The sequence below is a fragment of the Homo sapiens genome, chromosome 17 (assembly GCF_000001405.40).
Source record: "Homo sapiens chromosome 17, GRCh38.p14 Primary Assembly".
NCBI lineage: Eukaryota > Metazoa > Chordata > Mammalia > Primates > Hominidae > Homo > Homo sapiens.
The window spans coordinates 46,126,625-46,150,515 of NC_000017.11; the positions used below are offsets into that span (position 1 = coordinate 46,126,625).

Consider the following 23,891-nt stretch of genomic DNA (forward strand, 5'->3'; position numbering starts at 1 on the left):
ATCTATTTCCCCAACTTCATTATTAAGTGAGTTTTAGGCCTAGGTCTTCCAGAACAGTTTCCTCCAAAACATACAGTGTAATATCTGGTTACTCTTTATGTGTGCATAAGAAATGTCACTGTGACAAATGTTATAAAGAAAAAATTTGATTACCCTAAAAACAAATACATAAACAGCCCGCAAGTTTAGCTCCTAAAGTAGGAAAGAATAATGTGAAAATGTTTCTGGCTGTACCACTCAACAAAAATTTGCCCGCCAATAAGGAATCCTTTCTTCAAAAATTGGTCATGATCATTAGCCAAACTGTAACCAGTAACATCCAGCTGGATTATGGAGCTAATAAAGAACAACAGAGGGGATCCACAGGAAATTCAACAGGTAATTTACAACTGGCTCTCTCATCAGACTGGCAGACTGGGTCTAATCCAAGGTCAGATGACATGGGGGATTATGGAAGCCAATAACAATCATATTTAAATAAATGTCCTTTACAGAACATCACCACTTTCCTCATAAAAAGTTCAAAGGACTATTTTCACCCCTCACAATTACAGTAAGGATAAGAAGCCCAAGCACAGCTTGAAGCAGCAAAATTTTCTGAAAAGGAATTGAATTCTGTGTTCTCTTCAGGATCTTCCTTTCCCAATAATGGGGGTATTAAATTTCACTTATAAATCAAACTGAAAGGGAAAAAAAGAACAATAAAAAATGAGCTGGAAAACCTACATTCATCATCTTCAAAACAACATCAAGTTAGAAACAGTTTTAAAGCAATGTTACAACTCCTTTAGAATCTGGCAGGTTTTCTGGTTTTTACCAGATCCCGCTCCGGCAACAACAAAAAAAGAAACAGTTTTAAACAGTTTTATGGGCGTGGTGGCTCACACCTGCAATCCCAACACTTTGGGAGGCCAAGGCGGACAGATTGCTTTTCAGCACAAGAGTCTGAGACCAGCCTGGGCAACATGGTAAAATTTTGCCTCTATAAAAAAATACCAAAAAATACCAGGCATGGTGGTGGCACACTCCTGTAGTCCCAGCTACTTGGGAGGCTGAGGTGGGAGGACTGCTTGAGCCCAGGACAGCAAGGGTGCAGTGAGCCGAGATTGCACCAATGCACTCCAGCCTGGGCAACAGAGCCAGACCCTGTCTCAAAAAAAAAAAAAGTTAAATGCTGATGACTGAATAGAACACAATTCTCTGTAAATTCTTCAATGTGATAAAGCATTTCCTACACCAGTTACCAGTGGCAGCACCTAATAAGACTTGAGAGCAACTTAATACTTCACCCTCATGTATGTATGAATTTAAAATAGAACATCACAATAACTACGAAGATACCCAAACACCCCTTCCCTAATTTTTTTTTTTGGTACAAACAAAGTCTCGCTATATTGCCCAGGTGGATCTCAAACTCCTGGGCTCAAGTGATGCTCCTGCCTGGGCTTTCCAAAGTGCTGGGGTTACAAGCGTGAACCACTGTGCCTGGTCGCTTCCCTAATTCTTAACATGTCCCACAAAAGATTCTGCTTGATCTTGGCCCCCACTATATCATCACTATCTCTAGTAAATAGACTCAAAGCCTCTGCTTTCTCTGTGGCTCTAGCCACACTGGCAGAGACCAAAGGAGAGTTCAATGATAGGCCCTCTCACAGAACCTTGTGCCTTACCATACTTGTCAGTTACAATTTTATTCACTCGATTCAAGCATTTTTTGGATGCCTCATATGTTTCAAGGTACCTTTGTTACAGCAGTGAACAAGGCAAAGCCCCTAACAGGAGGAAATTCACATTCCAGAGGTAAGAAGAGAATTAAAAAGCCAAAAAAAAGTGTGTGTATGCATATATATGTGCATAAGAAATGTCACTGTGACAAGTGTTATAAAGAAAAAAAACACAGTAAGAGGACAGAGAGTGAAGTTGTCCTTGTACAGTTGACAGTCAATAACACCTCTTTTAACAGTAGTAGAGACCTGAACAGGGTGAAGAACAGAGCCAAGCTGACAGGAGATCTGGATTAAAGCTTTCCAGGCAGAAGGAATCGAAAATAGGCGGGAATATACTTAGCTTGTTGAGCAAGGCAAACAGCATGGCTGGAGCACAGAGAGCCAAAAGAGAGGTGATAAAGACAACACCAATGAGGTAAATAAAAGCAGACAGAACTTGGATCCTCTAGAGCCTGCAGCTCACGATATGGAGTTTGAATTTTAGTCTACGTGTGACAGGAAGCCTTTGAAGAACTTTGAGGAGGGACACGGATGTGTTATCGACACACTATAAATGACCAGTAACTTCAGAAGCAAGGAGGCCAACTGGGAGGCTGCGAAGGTTGTCCAGGCAAAGGATGATAATAGCTTAGACTAGGGTGATGGTAGCAGTCAAATGAGGAATGTTATTTATTTTCAGAATGTAATCTGAAGGTGGAGCCAAGATTTGCCAATGGAATAGAATGTAGAGATGAAAAGAAAAAAAAATCTATTCATCTCTGCATCCCCTCAGAGAATGTACCTGACCACCATGAAAGCAAGGGCCATGTTTGTCCTATTCAGGTCCTTGAACAAAGGAACAGTGCAGTATGTTCTAGTTGAATTAATAAATGACCTGCTTCTTTCCCTACAGAATCACAATATTGGCATTTATTTTGGCTGGCAAATACTGGTACGATGTCAAGCATGGAAATTAAGCACCTTAGGAGAAGAAAAGGGAGTTAAATAAAAAAGAGATCCATGTTTCACTGAACTTGCAAATTCAACTCAAAGCACCACCTGTCTGAAAATGGAACGTATATATATAAAAAAACTGCTCATTAAGGAAAATAAATCACAGTATCTCAGCAACAGTGCTTTGTCGTGAGTTACAAGATTGGCTACACCATCTGACAGGATTACTTAAATTGACAAAGACCTGCCTCACCAAACACAGCTAGAGGTCCTTGGGTCCTTGTGGTACTGGTATCAGGAATCTGATAAATCAGTCAGAGTGTGGAGTGTTTTTAAAACACAGACAAAATATATTTAGCAAGCAAAGTCTGTTAAAGGGAAGATTGGAGATCACTTTAAAAATAATTCAAAGCCTACTCTAAGTATTTGCAAAATTGTAAGATTATATTTCTGTGCTTTTGAATAAGATTCAGATTGGACAGTCTCAACTCTCCCTTGTGGGAGAGGGTAGGGGTGGGGGTGGACCTGTTTTCTACTAAGAAATTTATAGGACTCTCCAAAAACAGAACTTAGGGCAGTACTCCTTAATAGTGACCATACATTAGAATCATCTAGGGAGGGCTGGGCACAGTGGCTCACACCTGTAATTCTAGCACTTTGGGAGGCCGACACAGGCAGATCATTTGAGCCCAGGACATCAAGACCAGCCCGGGCAACATGGTGAAATCCCATCTCTACTAAAAATACAAAAATTAGCCAGGTATGGTGGCATGTGCCTGTAGTCCCAGATGCTCAGGAGGCTGAGACGGGAGAATCACTTGTGCCCAGAAAGGTAGAGGGTGCAGTGAGCTGAGATGGTGCCACTGAACTCATGCCTGGGCAAAAGAATGAGATCCTGTCTCCAAAAAAAAAAAAAAAAAAAAAGGAATCAACTAGGGAGGCTTTTAAAACATGAATGCTGGAGACCCACACCAGATAAATTAAATCAAAATTTAATCGGGGGTGGGTCCTGGGATTTTCCCTTTAAGTGTTTCCCACGTGATCTGAATGTGCAGCCCAAGTTGAGAATCACCAATTTACAGCAATAAAGTTTAAAGTAGAGGATTTAAATAAAAGTCTTTTAAAGAAACAACACTTTCAGAAGTCAACAAACTTGAGCCTTCATGTTAACACGTGGGGGTCACAGTGGGCATTTTGGAGCACAGATAAAAGGACCTGCTTTGGAATTGTAAAAGGCTGTTTCATACATACAAACAGTTCAGGAAAGGATAGAACGAAAACAAAAACAAGAAACCTTGATTAACCCCACCACATTCCTTCCCAAGGGCTTGAATTTTTTAACCGAACACTACAATAGCAACAAACCTAGAGAGTCAGTTCAAGACGGCTTCTCCCTGTAATGCTGCCTTAGAACTCTACAGAACAGCAGTCACTGCTGCACAGCTAAATACATCTCCAGCCAAGGAAATCTAGACATAGAAGATAGAAAATAACATCCCAGTTTGTCCCTCCTCTTTCCCCTCCCTCATCACATATCAACAGCTAACTTTGAACACATCTGTGGTTCACTGTACCACTTACAGGGGTACAGAGGAATGAAATTACCAGTCCTCACTGTAAAATAAACACATTTCTTTAAGAAATTCTATAAAGCACAAGAGGAAAGCAAAACCTTAGTAAACTGACAAATGTTCCCATTCTCCCAGCACATGAAGAAGACTGCCACAGTCTTTTTCAATTACACTTTGAAACCCTCTGTCCTGGTTTTCAAGCACAAGCTGATCTTCACCTCATTATAGATACTCAAACTGCCACCCGTCTTATTTTTAAATATCAGAGAAGTGACAAAATTCTATCTATGATCAAGGATGTATTATAAAAGAGAAGAAATTTTGCCTGGTTTTTACATTTATTTAAGTCCCTTCTACAATGAATAAAAATGGTTGTTCAAATCAATGGGTGAATGGGAATACAAATAAAATATGGGTAGCATTTTAAGGCATGGTATTAAGGCTAACATGATGTCCATCTAACATCCAGTTTCTGAAAATCTGAAATCAGAACACAGGACCTTTTCATTTCAAATTTACATTAAAGTTCAGCTCACTGATTAAGCATTTCCCTCAATAAAATTACATTTGTCATACCTTAATTGTGCAAAAGCTGCAAACTGGTAAAAAACTTGAATGCCATGGCATGATTATTCAAAAATAACTGGTACACCCTATGCCTGAAACCTGAGTGCCTACTGTGAACCTGCCAAAATGATTACAATGACAACCCATCATCTTCATCACATGAATTACTGCAATGTGAACAGTATTCTGCTGAGCACTATACAGTAATCAAAAGACAAGCTCCACATCCTCAAGAAGCTTATAAATTTGACTGAGGAGATAGGGCTGATAGGCAAGATAGCAATAAAACACATAATAAGGGCCTAAATCATGCAGTACAAACTAAGTTTTGAATACCAGTTCCCAGCTTGCAGTCTCAGACATAGATAGCAACACCACCACCACCACCCTTGCCAAGCCAAGTAAGTAAAAAGTAAAATGAGTAGGCTAGGCACGGCGGCTCATGCCTGTAATCCCAGCACTTTGGGAGGCCGAGGCAGGTGGATCACAAACTCAAGAGATTGAGACCATCCTGGACAACATGGTGAAACTCTGTCTCTACTAAAAATACAAAAATTAACTGGGCATGACGGCGCGTGCCTGTAATCCCAACTACTCGGGAGGCTGAGGTAGGAGAATCACTTGAACCTGGAAGGCAGAGGTTGCAGTGAGTCAAGATCGTGCCATTGCACTCCTGCCTGGGCCAAAACAGCAAAACTCCATCTCAAAAAAAAAAAAGTAAAATGAGTATACAGGAGTCCTAAAAACTTGAGAAACCAAAGGAAGCAATTCATTTGGTCAAGAGAAAGGTCAGGGCAGTTTCAACCTTCCCATTTATTTAGCTGTGTGACTTTCAACAATTTACCCAACCCTTTAAAGGAAGATAGTACCTACTAATTACCATGAGAACCAAATGAGATAGTGTATATAATGCGCTTTGCACAATGCCTGGCACATAGTCTCAAATACTGCCTATTATCATTACTGTTAGAAACAGTAAAATCCTAGTGTTGGCAGGGGCCTTTCAATAATCCAATTTTCCAGTCGAATAGTTCTCAGGGTGTAGTTACCATCAGCATCATTTGGGAAATTGTTAGAAGCCCATACTCTAGGGCTCCACTCCAGACCCACTGAATCATAAATTATCAAATCTGCGCCCAGTAATCTGTGTTTTAACAGCACTCCAGGTAATTGTGATGACCATTAATGTTAGAGAATTGCTGCCCTAATTAAACCCTCTAATTTTACGTATAAAGAACATGGAGGCCAGGTTCAGTGGCTCTTGCCTGCAATCCCGACATTTTGGGAGGCCGAGGTGGGAGAACCACTTGAGTCCAGGAGTTTGAGACCACGTAATATAGTTAGACCCTGTCTCTGAAAAGAATACAAGAATTAGCTAGGCATGGTGGCATGTGCCTATAGTCCTAGCTGCTCGGGAGGCTGAGGCAGAAGGATCACTTGAGCCTGGGAGGTCGAGGCTGCAGTGAGCCATCATCATACCACTGGACTTCCAGCTTGGGCGACACAGCAAGACCGTGTCTCGAAAAAAACAAAAGTAAGCAGATGGAAACCTGAAGAGATAAAATAACCTGCTCAAAACCACAATCATGGAGACTGTTTGTTTAGGGTCCATTATATGCCAAGTACCAGGGTGACCACTTTTTACATTTTTAACATCAGGTCCTCACAACAGCCCAGCTGGGCCCCAATTAACAGAAGAAAAACTGAGGTTCAGGTGTGAGATGGATGGAGTAATTTGTCAAAGGCGGCTCAATTTTTAATGGGCAAAATTAACATTCAAATCCAAGTTGTATGTGATCCCAAACCCTTACTGAAACCAGGACCACTGAGTGTTCTGAGGGAACGATACCAAGCACACGCCCAGACTTCCCCACCCAAGGGCATCGTTCTTTTCATTCTATCATACCACCTTAGCTGCAATGATTTTACCATGAAACATAACCAGAAATTAGCACTTTAAAGCAACTCTCAGAAGACAGGTGGTAAACGATTCTTCACTCCAACTAGAAAGGAAAAAATGACAACATACTATGAAAAAAGCTATGAGGCAGGAAAAAGCACACGTCAAGGCATGGAGATACGGATATAGACTAGGTAATTTTGCAACCACATAAGTGAAAGAAAATTTGCTATCCAATCTTCCTATTCTCTACTCCCAAGAGCCTAGTGCTTTTGTATAGTTTTCAGCTCAGTAAAGTGCCTCCAGATTTATAAAAGCTCAATGACAATAACAAGGTATCTTTATTACAAAATAGTTGTTAAAAGTTTGATTCGAAAAATTTTAAGGAAACCTTTCAGGTAACTGAAAGTGGAGGGTAGGGGCGCGACTCATGAAGGAGTTTTTTAACCAAAGAAATGATATGATACATTTTTAAATGACCACTTCAGTTGCAATATAAAATAACAGATTTTGGAGGAAAATGTCAATACAAGGATATCAATTATCAATTATTAGGTTACTATATTGGTTCAAGGAGAGATGATGGTGGCTGTGGAGATGAGTGAAATCAACAGATCCAAGATATATTTTAGAGAGTATTGTAGAAGACTAGGAATGGGAGTGACCAGACAGGAATGAAGACTTCTAGACTTACTGCACACTGTCATGAGGAAGGATGGGGATGGAAGGGTACAGTGGAATAAGCTGGGTTTTAGCAGAAGGAATCAAGAGCCCCATTACAAACACATTAAATGGCCTGGCGTGGTGGCTCACGCCTGTACTCCCAGCACTTTGGGAGGCTGAGGCAGGCGGATCACCTGAGGTCAGGAGTTTGAGACCAGCCTGACCAACATTGAGAAACCTTGTCTCTACTAAAAATACAAAACTAGCTGAGCGTGGTGGCAGGTGCCTGTAATCCCAGCTACTGGGGAGGCTGAGGTGGGAGAATCGCTTGGACCCTGGAGGTGGAAGTTGCAGTGAGCTGAGGTCGCGCCACTGCACTACAGCCTGGGCAACAAGAACAAAACTCCATCTCAAAAAATAAAAAATAAATAAAAATAAACACATTAAACGTTTATAATGTATTTACAAGACTAACAATCAGATAAAGTCTGAACTTCAGAAAGGAGATAGAGCTGACCTGAAAATATAAATTACGAACTATTGTTATATGAATGTTACTTAAAAGACGAGGAGGCCAGGTGTGGTGGCTCATGCCTGTAATCCCAGCACTTTGGGAGGCCGAGGCAGGTGGATCACTTGAGGTCAGGAGTTCAAGACCAGCCTGGCCAACATGGCGAAACCCCACCTCTACCAAAAAAAAAATACAAAAATTAATCGAGCACGGTGGCATGCACCTGTCAGCCCAGCTACTCAGGAGGCTGAGGCAGGAGAATCACTTCAATCTGGAAGGCGGAAGCTGCAGTGAGCTAAGGTGGTGCCACTGCACTCCAGCCTGGGCAACAGAGTGAGACTCGGTCTCCAAAAAAAAAAGGGCAGAAGATGGGGCGGAAGAATAGAGATAGGAAAGAGGAGGATGTTGAGAACTAAACCCTGAGGTACTTTTAGTATTCAAAGTGTAGGGGGGTCTGGAAATCTTGTAGAGACCAGTAGGGGTTGGAGTATGACATCTTCCAATAATGAATTCTCGTTGCTGTCCCCTTATGGGTCTGGGTCTACCTGATAGTCTCTTCTGGAAGTCGGTATCACTTGTGCTTAATTTCTACTCTTTTGTGCCCTCTATACAGCCTCTACTACAAATCTTTTTTGAAGAAGCACAGGGAGAAATAACTTGGGGAAAAAAAAAAGCCTATCTTTTAGAAATAGATTCTGAAATATTTACAGATGAAATAATATGTTGTACAGAATTGGCTTCAAAATAGTCCAAGTAAGGGGTGGTCTAGATAAAAAAAAAAAGAACAGCTCTGAGTAGATGCCTGTTACAGTTGGGCAATGCACACATGGGAAGGTTCACTGCACTGGTCTCTCTGAATATTTCACAATAAAACATAAAACATAGTATGGAAGGTTGGCAAACACAAGTCCATGAGAAATCTCTCCATCTTACCCAGATTAACGAGAGATACAACCAAGGATCCACAGGTTTGATGCAGACATTCTAAAAGATTCAATTATACCAAGACTTTAAAGGTGACAGATTTTTTTCCCCTCAACTATACATTTTTTTTTTTTTTTTTTTGAGACAGAGTCTCAACTCTGTTGCCCAGACTGGAGTACGGAGCCATAATCATGGCTCATTTCAGCCTTGACTTTACTGGCTCAAGCGAGCCTCCCAAGTAGCTGGGACTACAGGCATGCCCCACCATGCCTGGCTTTTTTTTTTTTTTTTTTTTTTTTTTGGTAGCGACAGGGGCCTGCTATGTTGCCCAGGCTGGTCTCAACCTCCTGGGCTCAAGCCTCAGCCTCCCAAAAGTGCTGGATTATAGGTGTGAGCCACTGCACCTGGCCTATATTGCTATCTTAAAATGTCTCAGTGACCCAACAATTTGCCAAAGAGCATGTAGAGCAAACTAGGCTCTATTCAGCATTTCCATTTCTTAATGTATCTATTTGATTTCAATAAAATTTCATCATTTTGAAGATCTCTCCCATTAGCTTGGGAAACTACAGAAACATGCACATAACTACTGAGAAGGTATCAAGTGTTCCTACACTAGTTTAAAAAAATCATTCAACACCCACATAAATTCTGATATGCACTAGGCTGAACAGCTGTTAACCACTGAGAAGCTGGGCACTGCATCCTCTCCCTGGGTCAAAACTCTATATGCTAATCAAACAGGGTCATGTATTTGGGAAAATAATAATCCATGGTAAAAGTCACAAAAAGACCTTAATTTTAAAATGAGAATTCCTAATCTATACATTCTTTAAAAAATCTAGGGTATATAGGTTGATGTACCTTCCTTGATCAAAACTCTTACTTCTCTGAAGCCTGTCAGAGTATTTTCACCACAAGGCTTGGATTAGGTTTCATTTTACATATGCATGCACATGTTCACATACCCATAATCATCCTTCTTAGTAGTATATAGAGACGGACCATATCGTTACCCTCTTCTGCTCAAATAAATGTCTTCCCCTACAAATGCTAAGGAGTAAAATGATCCAGAAAAAGTAGAAATTTGGCATAATCAGCACTGACTTCCTCAACGGTAACATACATGACATAAACACATTAGGTAGACTGGATGCCCAAAGGCCAATCCAACCTCATGTCTTCCTGGCATTTCTCAGGCCTTTCTCGTCACCCACCCCACCTAGGTTCCACGTTTCCAAAAAAGTTCCATGAAGATTCAGGAAAAAACAAAAAGGGAGGAAAACTCATTTTATTAAATTTACATCATATCCTTCTTCCCAGGGTTCAAAATTAAATAAAACCAAAAGAAGAAAACCAGAAAGACAAAAGCACTTTTGTCCAAGGTGGCAAAACACAAGAGCAATTTAACTGCCATTATGAACCAACTTATACTAAAATAGTATTTCCTGGAATGTGTATAAATTAAAAAACAAAACAAAATGTTCATGGTTACTTTTACTTTCAGGGTTGGGAACTGAATCCCACAAACAGCAGCTAAACCTCAAAAAAATTGTAATTCCCTAATTATTTCCAGATTAAAACACTTCTCTTGAACACATGTTTCTGCTGTTCTTTGGGGTGAGTGTAGGGCACAGCTGGAGTACAGTATAACACAGAAACAGCAAGTGCACTAAGAGCATCAAATCCTTCCCCCCAAAATTGTTTATCTCTTCCAGACTCCTATTCACACTTATTCCCCTGACTTAATTTTAATTCTGCCTCTTGGCCCTCTTACCTTGTCCCTTTCTACCCTACTCACTTATTCTCTATTCATCCTCATTCTCTGAAATGATAGTCAAAATAATACTTCATGCTAAAGCATTTTCTTAAATATTTCCAGATATTCCAACTTGTTATGATCTCCCACTTCTTTAAACCAGAAGCTATTACTACTTTTAGAGTGCATACCTATTTCTGCCCCATATTTATCACATACAACTTACGTATGATTTAGTTAGCATCCTCAAACTTAGAAAATGATTCTCGCAGCCCAGCAAAAATCCTTACTATAGCAGCCAATCAATATCTATTGAAAAATACATGTACCCCCTCGATACAATTGTCATAAAAGTTTTCAGTGTGCACTTAATTTGATAATGTCACTTCCATCTTTCTGTTTTGAAAACTGTTTCGCCGGGCGCGGTAGCTCATGCCTGTAATCCCAGCACTTTGGGAGGCCAAGGCAGGCTGATCACAAGGTCAGGAGATCGAGATCATGGTGAAACCCCGTCTCTACTAAAAAAAAATACAAAAAATTGGCCAGGCGTGGTGGCGGGCGCCTGTAGTCCCAGCTACTCAGGAGGCTGAGGCAGGAGAATGGCGTGAACCCAGGAGGTGGAGCTTGCAGTGAGCCAAAATCACGCCACTGCACTCAGGTCTGGGCGACACAGCGAGACTCTGTCTCAAAAAAAAAAAAAAAAGAAAATTGTTTCATAAGAATGACTCATCCTTCAAAGGAAAAATTCAGATGAAAAGGTGTCTGCACTATGTAGTGTGTTAAAATTTGTTCTCAAGCCTCTCCAGCTACCCTCAGGAGTGAACAGTGGCAAACTGCAGCTTAGGCTAGTGAAGTGATCTGCCCTACACCATCAAGTTAGCCAAGAATAGAAGCCACATTTCCTGACTCCTGCCTTGACTCCTGATCTCTTTCCACACATGCAAATACAAGTTCAGCATCCCAAACCCAAGATCCAAAAAGTTCCCAAAATAGGAAACTTTCTGAGTGTCAACATGACACTCAAAGGTAATGTTTATTGAAGCATTTTGGGTTTCCAGATTTGGGATGTTCAACTGGTAAGTACAGCTGACCCTCTGTATTCATGGATTCAATCAATCAAACAGCAAAAATATTTAAAAAACAATGTCTGTACTGAATATGTACAGACTTTTTCTTCTCATTATTCCCTAAGCAATACAGTGTAACAACTATTTACATAGCATTTACACTGTATTAGGTGTTATAAGTAATCTAGAGATGACAAAGCATACAGGAGGATGTGCATAGGTTATACACAAATACTATCCCATCTTATATCAGGGATTTGAGCACTGTCAGATTTGGTATCCACGGAAGTTCGTGGAACAAGTCATCCAAGAATACTGAAGGATAACTGTATAATGCAAAGATTCCAAAATCCAAAACACCTCTGGTCCCAAACATTTCACATCAGAGAGACTCCACCTGTAATGGCTTTCAGTTCTGTAAATCAACAGCACATCTAGTTGTGTGAATACATACGTGGCTAAGGTTCAAAGTACTTTAAAAGTATTAAGTCCAAGACAAAGATGAGATAGTATTCCTCACCTGATCCAAGGGTCACACCTGACAGTAAGAACTGGAGTCAAAGGATCATCACTGTAACCCATCAACATAGGTACAGTTCACAATATTAGGAGAAGTCATGAAGTAACATACATACAGGACACACATAAATTTCACCTCTAACCAGGAATCCTGTGATAGAATTCATTAAACCTATTCTCACTCAACTACCCCCAGTGGCTTATGAATCAATCCTAAAGGCATCAGACACAAGACTATTACCATTACAAATTTCTAATCTGCTAAGAAGTCTTGAGTTTTAAGGAAGAAACTAGTGCCAATTCATTAAAAAGGAAGGCAGAAAAATGGAAAACCAGAAGTCTTTCATTGCTGCTCTATCCCCATAATCTAAAACAATACCTAGGACATCACAGGAAACCAATGTCTATTTACTAATGTCTATTTACCTCTTAGCCTTTATTAAAGTGAACTCATAGTATTGACATTATTTTCTCATCCTCACAGGGCATTTGACCACATTTTGGAACCAAGTTTAAAATCTTTCATAGGCCAAAAAAAAAAAAAAAGTATATAATGACTAACATGCTTTAAATACCATGACAAATATAATTAAATACTTGCTCTCACTGAATTCAAAATTTTTAGTTCCCTCAAGGTGAAGTTACTCATTTTCCATTATTTCTCTCTAACATCAATTTCTCCACCAGATTTCCTCCACCTGTGCCACTACTCACCCATCTAAATGTGCACATGTGTACTCAAGCATTCAATGAATTGCTTATTATGTACTACTCAGCACGAAGAAGCAGAGGAAACCCAGCCTTTGGAGTGATATGAACCTGACTCTACTTCTTGTTTTAACCAATTACTAAGCCTTGTGACCTCGGGAAGTCAATCATTATGTCTAGTACTCCTGTTGCCTAACTGTAAAAATGTGAAGGATTATTACGTACATAAAAGCATAATACCAAAAATAGGCACTAACTGATTGTTAGTTTCCGTCCCTCTCCTACAACAGCACCCTGACTTTGGAAACTAACCCTCCACGAACTGAAAGCATTCTCAGAATATACTGTCCTTAAAAAAAGAGGAAGGAATGAAGGGAAAGAAAAGAAAAGAAAAAGGAGAGAGGGAAGGGAAAAGGCAAAAATTTTTAAAAATACTTTTGGTCCTGGTTTACAGGCCACCACAATAATTCAAGTAAATTAGCATAATCCAGAGAGACAAAAACTTTTTCTATTTTTTACTACACCAAAAAAGCTCATAATAAAATTTCAAAGTATTAAAAAATAAATGAAAGTAATCCCTTCCCTTCCTCCATCCCAACCCATCCCATCCCTCAGAAATAATCACTGTTAGCACTCTGGTGTGCACATATACACATACACATACATACATATATATTTTTGTTGCCAAAATTTTACTGCAGATATCTGGAAAATAAAGAGTAGCATAAAGAAGAAAAATATGTAATCTATACAACCGGAAAAAATTTTAAGCTGCAAATAAGTTTCCACAACTAAATTTACATTGTAAAACACATGATGGGGAAAAAAAGGTCTTTACAATAAATATGGTACAAGGACAACTGAATATCCACTATCCACAGGCAAAATAAAATTGGATTCCTACCTCACACCATACAGAAAACTAACTTAAAGTCGATCAAAGCCCTACTTAAATGTAAGCATTGAAACTCCTGGAAAAAAGCATAGGAGTAAATTCTTCATGAACTTGGGTTAGGCAATGATTTCTTATGCTGTGACACAAAAAGCAAAAGAAACAAAAAAAAAACATAAATTGGACTATATCAAAATTTAAAACTTCTGTAAATAATAATCAAGAAAATGAGAATACAATCCACAGAATGGAAGAAAATATCTGAAAATCATCTATTTGACAAGACACTGGTCTCCAGAATATATACAAAAAACACAATTCAACAATTTTTAAAAACCAAATAACTTTAGAAATGAGCAAAGGATCTCCAAAGAAGATATACAAATGACCAATTAAGCACCTGAAACGATTATCAGCATCATTAGCCATTAGAGAAATTAAAATCAAAACCACAATGAGATACCACTTCACATTGACTAGCATGGCTATAATTAAAAAGACAATTAGAAGCATTGGCAAGAATGTGGAGAGAATGGAACCCACAAATATCGCTCATGGTAATACAAAATGGTAATATAAAATGGAAAACAGGCAGTTCCTCAAAAAGTTATACACAGGGCTACTTTATGTGTTAAATGCTGAGGATGCATAAAGGATCAGAAATTCAGATAAAGCATTCCCAGAACAGTGATTGATCCTGTTTGTTTAAAAAAAAAAAAAGACAATGTACTCAACAATTAACTAAAGTACTTGTATTTCTCTTTACAAAACTAAGTTATGTAAGAACTAAACATTTTAAATTGAAAATTGTTTATCTGGTTCTTTGAACTGAAAATCCTTTTATATTCCCACCTGTGAGTGTACACAACAAGGTGAAGCAAATGCATTAAACCCAGTAGGTCTCAGGACAGGAAGCATTTACACTCAGAGGCTATCCCACAGAGCAAAATCCACACTGAAGACTAAATCATTTCACAGAACCCTAGATTTAGATAAACTTGGAGACAGGAGAGCAGCTGAAGAGCCCTTCTCTTTCCTCAAGGTTGTCTACACATCTAAATCAACTTCACTGGGGGAGCATAGGGGCTGCTTAAGGGTCTAAGACAAATAAATTCTTCTATGCAATACTTTACATTTATTTACAAACGGTCTATCTTACACTAAGCTCAAAATATTCCACTGAGCTACTGCAGAAAATCTGGGTGCGAAATAAGAAAAGACAATCAGAGAGTGTATACTCATAAAAGGAATTAAAAAGAACAAAATGCCCAAGAATACAGTATCCTCACAAAAAATACCCTAAATGAATCTAGTAAAAATTTGGCAACCCATATTCTGGAAAGATATTCTTTACAAGTTAACCTGTATGTCTTATGCAACTTCCAAAGTCCCAAAGAAAGTAATACAAAATTAAGTGGTTTTGAGATACTAGTCAGCTTTTTCGGAAAGAGGGTTAGAGAGGACTTACTTCCTTGTATTATGAAACAAAAAACGCTCTGATGAATTAAAAGGGTAGTTTCTTTCTTTATTTCTCTTTTTTTCAGACAAGTCTCACTCTGCGTGCCCAGGCTGGAGTGCAGTGGCATGACCTTGGCTCACTGCAACCTCCACCTACCAGGTTCAAGCGATTCTCCAGCCTCAGCCTCCCGAGCAGCTGGGATTACAGGTGTGTGCCATCACACCTGGCTAATTTTTTTGTATTTTAGTAGAGCCAAGGTTTCACTATATTGGTAAAAGGGTAGTTTCCAAAAATAAAAACATGTACAAGGAAATTTAAAATTCTCCTATTAGTGTCTGGAAGGATGAAGAATTTCTACTATTTTAGGTTGAGAAAGAAAGCTAAAGGCAAAAGATCAACAGACAAAAATTTAAACAATTTATAATTTCTAACTTATCCAAGTTTGACTCCAATATTTTTACCAAAGGATAAATATCTCTGCTTCAAAGAATCATAAAAACATTACAACAGCCTGGCACAGTGGCTCATGCCTGTAATCACAGCACTTTGGGAGGCCAAGGCAGGAGGACTGCTTGAGTCCAGGAGTTTGAGACCAGCCTGGGCAACAGAGCAAAACCCCATCTCTACAAAGAAAAAAAAATTTTTTAATAAGGGGGGCATAAGGGTGCACTCCTGTGGTCCCAGCTACTTGTGAGGACCACTTGAGTCCTGGAGGTTGAAGCTGCAGCAAGCTACGACTATGCCACTGCACTCTAGCCTGGGCAACAGAGCAAGACTGCAGACTGTATCAAAACAAAACAAAACAAAACATTACAACATATGAGAATGTTCAACTTCACTAATACTTTCCCAATGCAAATTTAAGTAAAGATAGTATTTTTTATTTATCAGTTTAGCAAATATTTTTAAAGGATCCTCCATGCTAATTGGAGTGTGGTTAAACAAAAAACCTGCTTGTTACACTGCTGGTATGACTACAACTGGGAACCTTTTGGAAAGCAACCTAACAAGATATATCTGTAGTCTTCTGAATTGTTCACACTCTCTTTTATTCTTAGATTCATACAATATAAATAAATACAAAAAGCAAAGCCTATGTGCACAAACAGCAAGCATCAGAAAGTCCATGAAAAGAATAGTACAAGTATATAGTAAAGGAATTAACTTATACTTTGCTTTTCAAACTATGTTCAATCCAATAGATTTCTAAATATGGCAAGTTTCTAAAAATCCAACTCCTTAAGTACACTGTAAAGACATTTATGCACACAGCTAAAATATACTCAAACTAAGAAGTCCTCAAAGGCCGTAAGATACACTAAAAATATAATACCTCCCAGTGAAATAAAGGGAAAAGCAGAAGTCAGGTGAGAATATTTACATATATGTACCCATTCAGCAGTTCTGTAGAAGTCATTATCTTCTTTGGGAGGCCGAGGCAGGTGGATCACCTGAAGTCAGGAGTTCAAGACCAGCCTGGCCAACATGGTGAAACCCCGTCTCTACTAAATACACCAAAATTAGCCAGGTGTGGTGGCAGGCGCCTATAATCCCAGCTACTCAGAAAGCTGAGGCAGGAAAATCGCTTGAACCCGCGAGACAGAGGTTGCAGTGAGCTGAGATCACGCCATTGTGCTCCAGCCTGGGCAACAAGAGCAAAACTTCGTCTCAAAAAATAAATAAATAAATAAATAAAAAGGCCGGGCACAGTGGCTCACGCCTGTAATCCCAGCACTTTGGGAGGCCGAGACGGGTAGATCACGAGGTCAGGAGATTGAGGCCATCCTGGTTAACACGGTGAAACCCTGTCTCTAGTAAAAATACAAAAAATTAGCCGGGCGTTGTGGCGGGCGCCTGTAGTCCCAGCTACTCAGGAGGCTGAGGCAGGAGAATGGCGTGAACCCAGGAGGCAGAGCTTGCAGTGAGCCGAGATCACGCCACTGCCCTCCAGCCTGGGCGACAGAGCGAGACTCCATCTCAAAAAAAAAAAAAAAAAAAAAAAAAGAAGTTGTTATCTTCCCAGTAGAAGAGATGAGAAAATTTGAGGTCCAGATTGGTTGAGTGATATCCGAGGACCACAGAGCTAGTAAAATTATGGAGCTAGAACTTGAAGTCTGATTCCAAATCACATGTTTCCTATGCTACCCCAAACAAAGGGAGTATTTTCTACAGTGGCATTACAACAGACCAAGTAACAGCAGAGGTAAAACAAGTTTCACATGTCTGTGGCTCTTTGTTTTTTACAAGTTTTTATTACTTTGTCATGGGGGGGAAAACGAAAAATTATAATTAGGTCAAGGAAAGATATAACTATACTACTACTATCATTCTGAAGGAAGGGAAGGTATACCTTCTAAGTCCTGCATAGTTTAAAAATTCCCATTACTTGCGAGACCAGGTGAGACTGCACAGTTCTAGACTTCCTATCGTGTGCCAAAACTCTAGGGATAATCAAAAAATGTTTGTTGAATGAACGCTAATTTAAAATAGAAAAAGAAATTCCAGATTTCCTCCTCAGTACAAGAGGCCTGCAACAACAAACTTCTGAAATACCAGCAGTCTACTAATTGCATATTCAAATTTAAACCACAGAAAGTTGAATCAACTCTGCCAATTTCTGGGACTCTCTAAATGAACTCTTAATACAAAAATACATACTCAGGCTCAGCATTTTTTCTAATCATTTACAAAAGTAAAAGGACGTCAGGACAAGTTCTGGTGAAATTTTATAAACAGCCATGAATTGCAGCTGTAGACTGCCAGATACATAACCTGTATATGACAGGGGGTACCACGTGGAAATTAGAGACATCCCCCTTCACCAAAAAGATTATATCCAGGGGATACTACATAATAAAAAAAAAATCTGAAAAATGTAATGGGATTAAGATCCTTTAGAATAGGCTAGTAGTGATGATTTTGCTTTTTCAGTCCCCTCCTCACAAACAAATGATGATGACACTGCCCTTAGCTTTCTATGTGCAAAGACAGTATTAACCTTCCCAGGCCAAACTTACGACTACACCTTTTCCACACGAAATGCAAGGCATTTCTAACTCCCCAGATTACCTCACATTCGTTGGATGCCACACAATAGATTATAAAGTATCAAGATATATATTAATTTTTAAAAGTTCACCAGGAGTTGGATATTCTAAACTGGGTTTCTGATTCTTAACAGTGAGAATGAAGTCAAGCTCCTTATTTGGTGGTTAGAGGAGAGGATTTGGCCAGAAATAATTCTTTTAGGATTGACAGACAAGTACTACTTAAGTTCTATCATCTCATCCAAAAACTTGCTTCTTATATTCTGCTTTTAACCCGATCTACACAATGAAAAGCCACGGAGACTAGTTTTGCATGAAAGCAAAGGACTTTTCTAATATGACTTCAGAGCATGCCATGCTTTAAAGTCCATGTTCAACCACTTACTATCATTTTCCAACTCACTCTCTATGGGCCCATCCCATATTTCAACTACAGGTATACCTCCTGGCCCTTTCTATTTCATAAGCTTCTTTGGAAGACAAATCTACTGATTTATGCAATAAACTTTCTACCTCTACTTAACCAATTTGATAATTTAATAGCTGGAGATAATTCTAAATTCCCCAAACCTTAATCAAGAATTTTGGAAAAAAAGAGCTATCTAGAACAGTTATCTTCCTGAAAACACTGTTGTGCTAAACTGAAACACAGCCTTTTCTCAAGAGCTAAGCAGCTACTTGGGTCTACATTTTAATGCACTAAATAATTTTATAAGATCATGTTTGAAACCAAAAAACCCAAAAAGGATTGTCAAGCTAGGTCAGCTTACAAAACCCCTTCTGTTATGAACTAGGAAATCAAACAACAAAACATAAGCTCTAGGAAATGAGCATGGAGGTGCTCCATCCATACTAGCTTTTCCTTGTTTTTTTCTTGAGAGGAGTGACTCTCTGTCACCCAGGCTGGAGTGTAGTGATGCAATCCTGGTTCACTCCAACCTCCACCTCCTGAGTTCAAGGGATTCTCCTGCCTCAGCCTCCCGAGTAGCTGGGATTACAGGCGTCGACCATGACACTCAGCTATTTTTTGTATTTTTAGTAGAGACAGGGTTTCACCATGTTGGCTAGGCTGGTCTCAAATTCCTGACCTCAAGTGATCCTCCCACCTTGGCCCCCTCAAAGTGCTGGGATTACAGGTGTGAGCCACCGTGCCAGCCCATACTAGCTTTTCTGAAGCCTCTTTACTCATTCTTTTGTTCTCTACTCTAGCAGCTAAAGACATCTCCTAAAGAAACAACTAGTGTGCCTCCATACAACCCCTCAGTAAGCACTCAGTATTGAGACTAAACTGTGAAAAGCACTAAAATAAATGCATCATTCATCTATGACCTTCTGAGAATACCACCACCTCATATTTGAATAGACGTCTAGTTTTCATGAGAACTTTCACGCACTCATTTGATCCTCTTTAAAAACCACAGGAAACAGGGCAAGCCATCTTATCAGCTCTATTTACAGAGAGGGAAATCAATTTGAAAAGGTTACATAGCTTAATCAAGGTCACAAAGTGACTGACTGGCCAAGCTGGTACTCAGTCTTATGATAGTCCAGGGCTCTTTCCTCTACACTGATCCTAAATTGAAAAAAAAAATTTTTTTTGGACTGCTCCTGCAAGGTAGGGCTACCCCATAGGCAGAGAGTAGCTGAAAAATTCTGTATGTGTCTATCACAAGAAGTTGAGGCCGGGCGCGGTGGCTCACGCCTGTAATCCCAGCACTTTGGGAGGCCGAAGCCGGCGGATCACGAGGTCAGGAGATCGAGACCATCCCAGCTAAAACGGTGAAACCCCGTCTCTACTAAAAATACAAAAAATTAGCCGGGCGTAGTGGCGGGCGCCTGTAGTCCCAGCTACTTGGGAGGCTGAGGCAGGAGAATGGCGTGAACCCGGGAGGCGGAGCTTGCAGTGAGCCGAGATCCCGCCACTGCACTCCAGCCTGGGCGACAGAGCGAGACTCCGTCTCAAAAAAAAAAAAAAAAAAAAAAAAAGAAGTTGACAGGCCTAAAAGGTTTCACATTTAGATGTTTCTTTTTTTGGAAAAGGTGAAGATCTGGCTGGGCACAGTGGTGCACATCCTTAGGTAGTTCCAGCTACACAGGAGGCTGAGGCAGAAGAACTGCTTGAGCCCAGCCTGAGCAACACAGTGAGACTCCATCACTAAAAATAAGTAAATAAATAAATCACATAAAAAATAAAAAATTTTAAAAGGGGGTAAAGAGCCAATGAATTGACTAAGAAATGTGTTGTTTCAAATCAGAATGACCTTGAAAAGCCATAGTACTTGCATGCAAAAATATGATCCGATTTAAAAAGTCAATATGCTTAAAATACAACAGAAAAATCAACCAATATATGTATTTCGTATTACTGGTTTAAAATTTCTGAATATGCTGTAAAGAGAAGGAGGTGAAAAACGTCAACCAGACTGGGGTGGTGGCTCATGCCTGTAAACCCAGCACTTTGGAAGGCCAAGGTGGGTGGATCACTTGAGTTCAGGAGTTCACGACCAGTGTGGGCAAGGTGGCAAGATCCTGTCTCTACAAAAAATACAAAAATTAGCCAGATGTGGTAGCATGCGCCTGTAGTGCCAGCTACTCGGGAGGCTGAGATAGAAGAATTGCTTGAGACTAGGAGGCAGAGGGTGTAGTGGGCAGAGATCATACCACTAACCCCTCCAGCCTGGGTGACAGAGTGAGACTCTTTAAAAAAAAAAAAAAAAAAAAAAAAGAGAGCGAGAGAGAAAGAGGCAGAGAGAGAGAGAAAGATCTCAACTGATAAGATACTACATAATCACATTATCTCTTGCTTGACCAACTTAACAAATATTTCAAAATGTTTATAAAAATCAAAATGGGTCAGCATTGGAAGAAGTTGTAAGTAAAATTCAGGTGTTCTCCACATGAGGCAACTGCTGTTAATAGAAGACTATATGACGGTATTTTCTCGAAGTTTGGTACAAAGATCAAAAATAGAATCACAGGCAAAACCCTTGAAAGGCTTAGGAATCTGAATTTTTAAGTACTAGGTTGTTGATGAATATAAAATTTAAAGATGTGTATTTAGGGTAGAAATAACCTTGACCTTGGTAGCTGTGGAACTTGTGTGGTTACTCGTTCTGGGCCCTGGTTTTCCCAATGGTAAAACAGAGGAGGTAGGGACACAAACGTCCTACTTCATAGAAAAGTTATAAGACTTTAAAGGCGATGGTTTATAAAAAGTAATTAGCACACAGTTTTGACACACACTAAATAATAATTAGCTACTATGGTGGAAATTTTATTTCTATTTAACACTTCTGACATTAGCAAATAGTGTACCAAACAGACATGCTTTTTACATAGTTACATGATTCTTCTCAACAACCGCTCCCCCGAAAGAAAGCAGTTTTTAAGAGGGTCACTCTCATGATTTGAAGAGAACTGGGAGAGGAGGAACATAAATCAGTTCTGTCACATTTTAAGGATTAGAATTTAAACATTAAAAACAATTTTAATATGTTCACATATATAACTATCACCTGGTTGGACCATGACAAAAACCCACCCCTAACCATAAACAAGGGTAACCTATCATTTATCAAAAACAGGAAACGTTCCTATCTCTCAAGATCAGCGCTCTGAACTAATTATTTAACATAAGGTCATTTTTACGAGTTCACATGCTGAATGGCTTACAATTAAAAGCCTCTTCTAACCCAAATCACCATCCTCCTTCACTTACCTTTTTTTTTTTTTGAGATGGGAGTCTCCCTCTGTCGCCCAGGCTGAAGTATAGTGGCACAATCTCAGATCACTGCAACCTCTACCTCCTGGGTTCAATTGATTCTCCTGCCTCAGCCTCCTGAACAGCTGGGTACAAGCACCCACCATGCCTTGCTAATTTTTTTTTGTATTTTTAGTAGCGACAGGGTTTAACCATGTTGGCCAGGCTGGTCTGGAACGCCTGATCTCAAGTAATCTGCCCACCTCGGTTTCCCAAAGTGCTGGGATTACAAGCATGAACCACCGTACCTGGCCTGTTGCTTACACTTAAAAAAAAAAAAAAAAATTCCTCCCCTCTCCCTAGACTCCTAACCTAATCAAGTTACCAAATTCAAAAAATTATTTTATCTCACCCATTCTTGCCTCTTTTTTTCTTTTTTTTTTTTTTTTGAGACGGAGTCTCGCTCTATCGCCCAGGCTGGAGTGCAGTGGCATGATCTTGGCTCACTGCAAGCTCCACCTCCCGGGTTCACGCCATTCTCCTGCCTCAGCCTCCCAAGTAGCTGGGACTACAGGCGCCCACCACTGCGCCCAGCTGATTTTTTGTATTTTTAGTAGAGACGGTGTTTCACGTGTTAGCCAGGATGGTCTCGATCTCCTGACCTTGTGATCCGCCCGTCTCGGCCTCCCAAAGTGCTGGGATTACAGGCGTAAGCCACTGCGCCCAGCCTGCCTCTTTTTTTCTACTAGGGCTATCACAATTCTGGCCTTCATTTCATTTGACAGGAAGGCATGGGTTTATACCCTAACCAGAACAACAATGAACAGGATTTCTGCCTCCACTCCTCTAATCCAGGGGTTGGCAAACTTTTTCTGTAAAGGGCCAGATGGCAAATATTTAGGCTTTGCAGGCCACACAGTCTCCGTCTCAACTACACAACTCTTGCCATTATAGTACTAAAGCAGCCACAGACAATATTCAAGTGAATGAGTATGACTGTGTTCCAATAAAACTTTACTTACAAAAACTTGCCTTAGACTGCATTTGGCATACAGGGCATAGTCTGTTGATTGTGCTAATCCAACCAACTAATATCAACTTTCCTAAATTCCATCACAGATCATGTGATTTCTGATTTAAAAGTCACTTTCCTTGGCTGGGCACGGTGGCTCACGCCTGTAATGCCAGCACTTTGGGAGGCCATGGCGGGTGGATCACGAGGTCAGGAGATCGAGACCATCCTGGCTAGTAGTAGAGATGATGAAACCCCGTCTCTACTAAAAATACAAAAAAAAAAAAAATTAGCCGGGTGTGGTGGCGGGCGCCTGTAATCCCAGCTACTCGGGAGGCTGAGGCAGGAGAATGGTGTGAACCCAGGAGGTGGAGCTTGCAGTGAGCTGAGATCGCACCACTGCACCCCAGCCTGGGCAACAGTGCGAGACTCCATCTCAAAAATAAATAAATAAATAAAAAATAAAAGTCACTTTCCTTACCAAAAAAAAAAAAAAAATAGAACTTAACATTCCTTGGCCTGATACTCAAAGGCTTCCTCCATGAGTATAATCTTCATTAACCTTGGTCATTTCCTTTTTCTCATACTAGATTCCAAATTGTATTCCATGATTGTGGCTGCTTATACTGCTCTAATTCCAAACCTTTGCTCAATTTGTATACAGAATGTCCTTTCTTCTTTCCCTCTAAACACCTACATCTCCCTTGCTTCCCACACTACCACCTAGAACTAAAATCCATCTATCCTCTAAGAAGTCTCCTTCCCTTTACCCAGAAATTCTTCTTCAGCAGAACTTCTATGGCACTTAATCTGTATCTTTTCTGACAATGATTGCTTTGTATCTTTTACCACAGTGAATTATATCTTAGATCCCCTAAGCCTGTGGGCAGAATTTATTTACAAGTCATCTCTGTATTTCCCACAGCACTTTA

At 39.9% G+C, this 23,891-nt stretch overlaps 1 protein-coding gene across 30 annotated transcripts in view, besides 3 other annotated features; it reads right to left on the minus strand.

Annotated features, from left to right (window-relative positions):
• The window catches only part of KANSL1 (KAT8 regulatory NSL complex subunit 1), a 195,452-nt gene that overhangs the window by 96,709 nt on the left and 74,852 nt on the right, over positions 1–23,891 (minus strand). The gene's annotated exons all lie outside the window — the stretch shown is intronic.
• Positions 17,205–17,405: a silencer, noted in NCBI's record as "peak2868 fragment used in MPRA reporter construct". NCBI's record gives its function as "represses an SCP1 promoter by STARR-seq MPRAs in K562 erythroleukemia cells {active_cell/tissue: K562}" and the evidence as "EXISTENCE:reporter gene assay evidence [ECO:0000049][PMID:32103011]".
• Positions 21,983–22,484: an enhancer, noted in NCBI's record as "H3K4me1 hESC enhancer chr17:44225973-44226474 (GRCh37/hg19 assembly coordinates)". NCBI's record gives its function as "activates a minimal SCP1, AML or CMV promoter by ChIP-STARR-seq in naive H9 embryonic stem cells {active_cell/tissue: H9 hESC(naive)}" and the evidence as "EXISTENCE:reporter gene assay evidence [ECO:0000049][PMID:30033119]".
• Positions 22,485–22,984: an enhancer, noted in NCBI's record as "H3K4me1 hESC enhancer chr17:44226475-44226974 (GRCh37/hg19 assembly coordinates)". NCBI's record gives its function as "activates a minimal SCP1, AML or CMV promoter by ChIP-STARR-seq in naive H9 embryonic stem cells {active_cell/tissue: H9 hESC(naive)}" and the evidence as "EXISTENCE:reporter gene assay evidence [ECO:0000049][PMID:30033119]".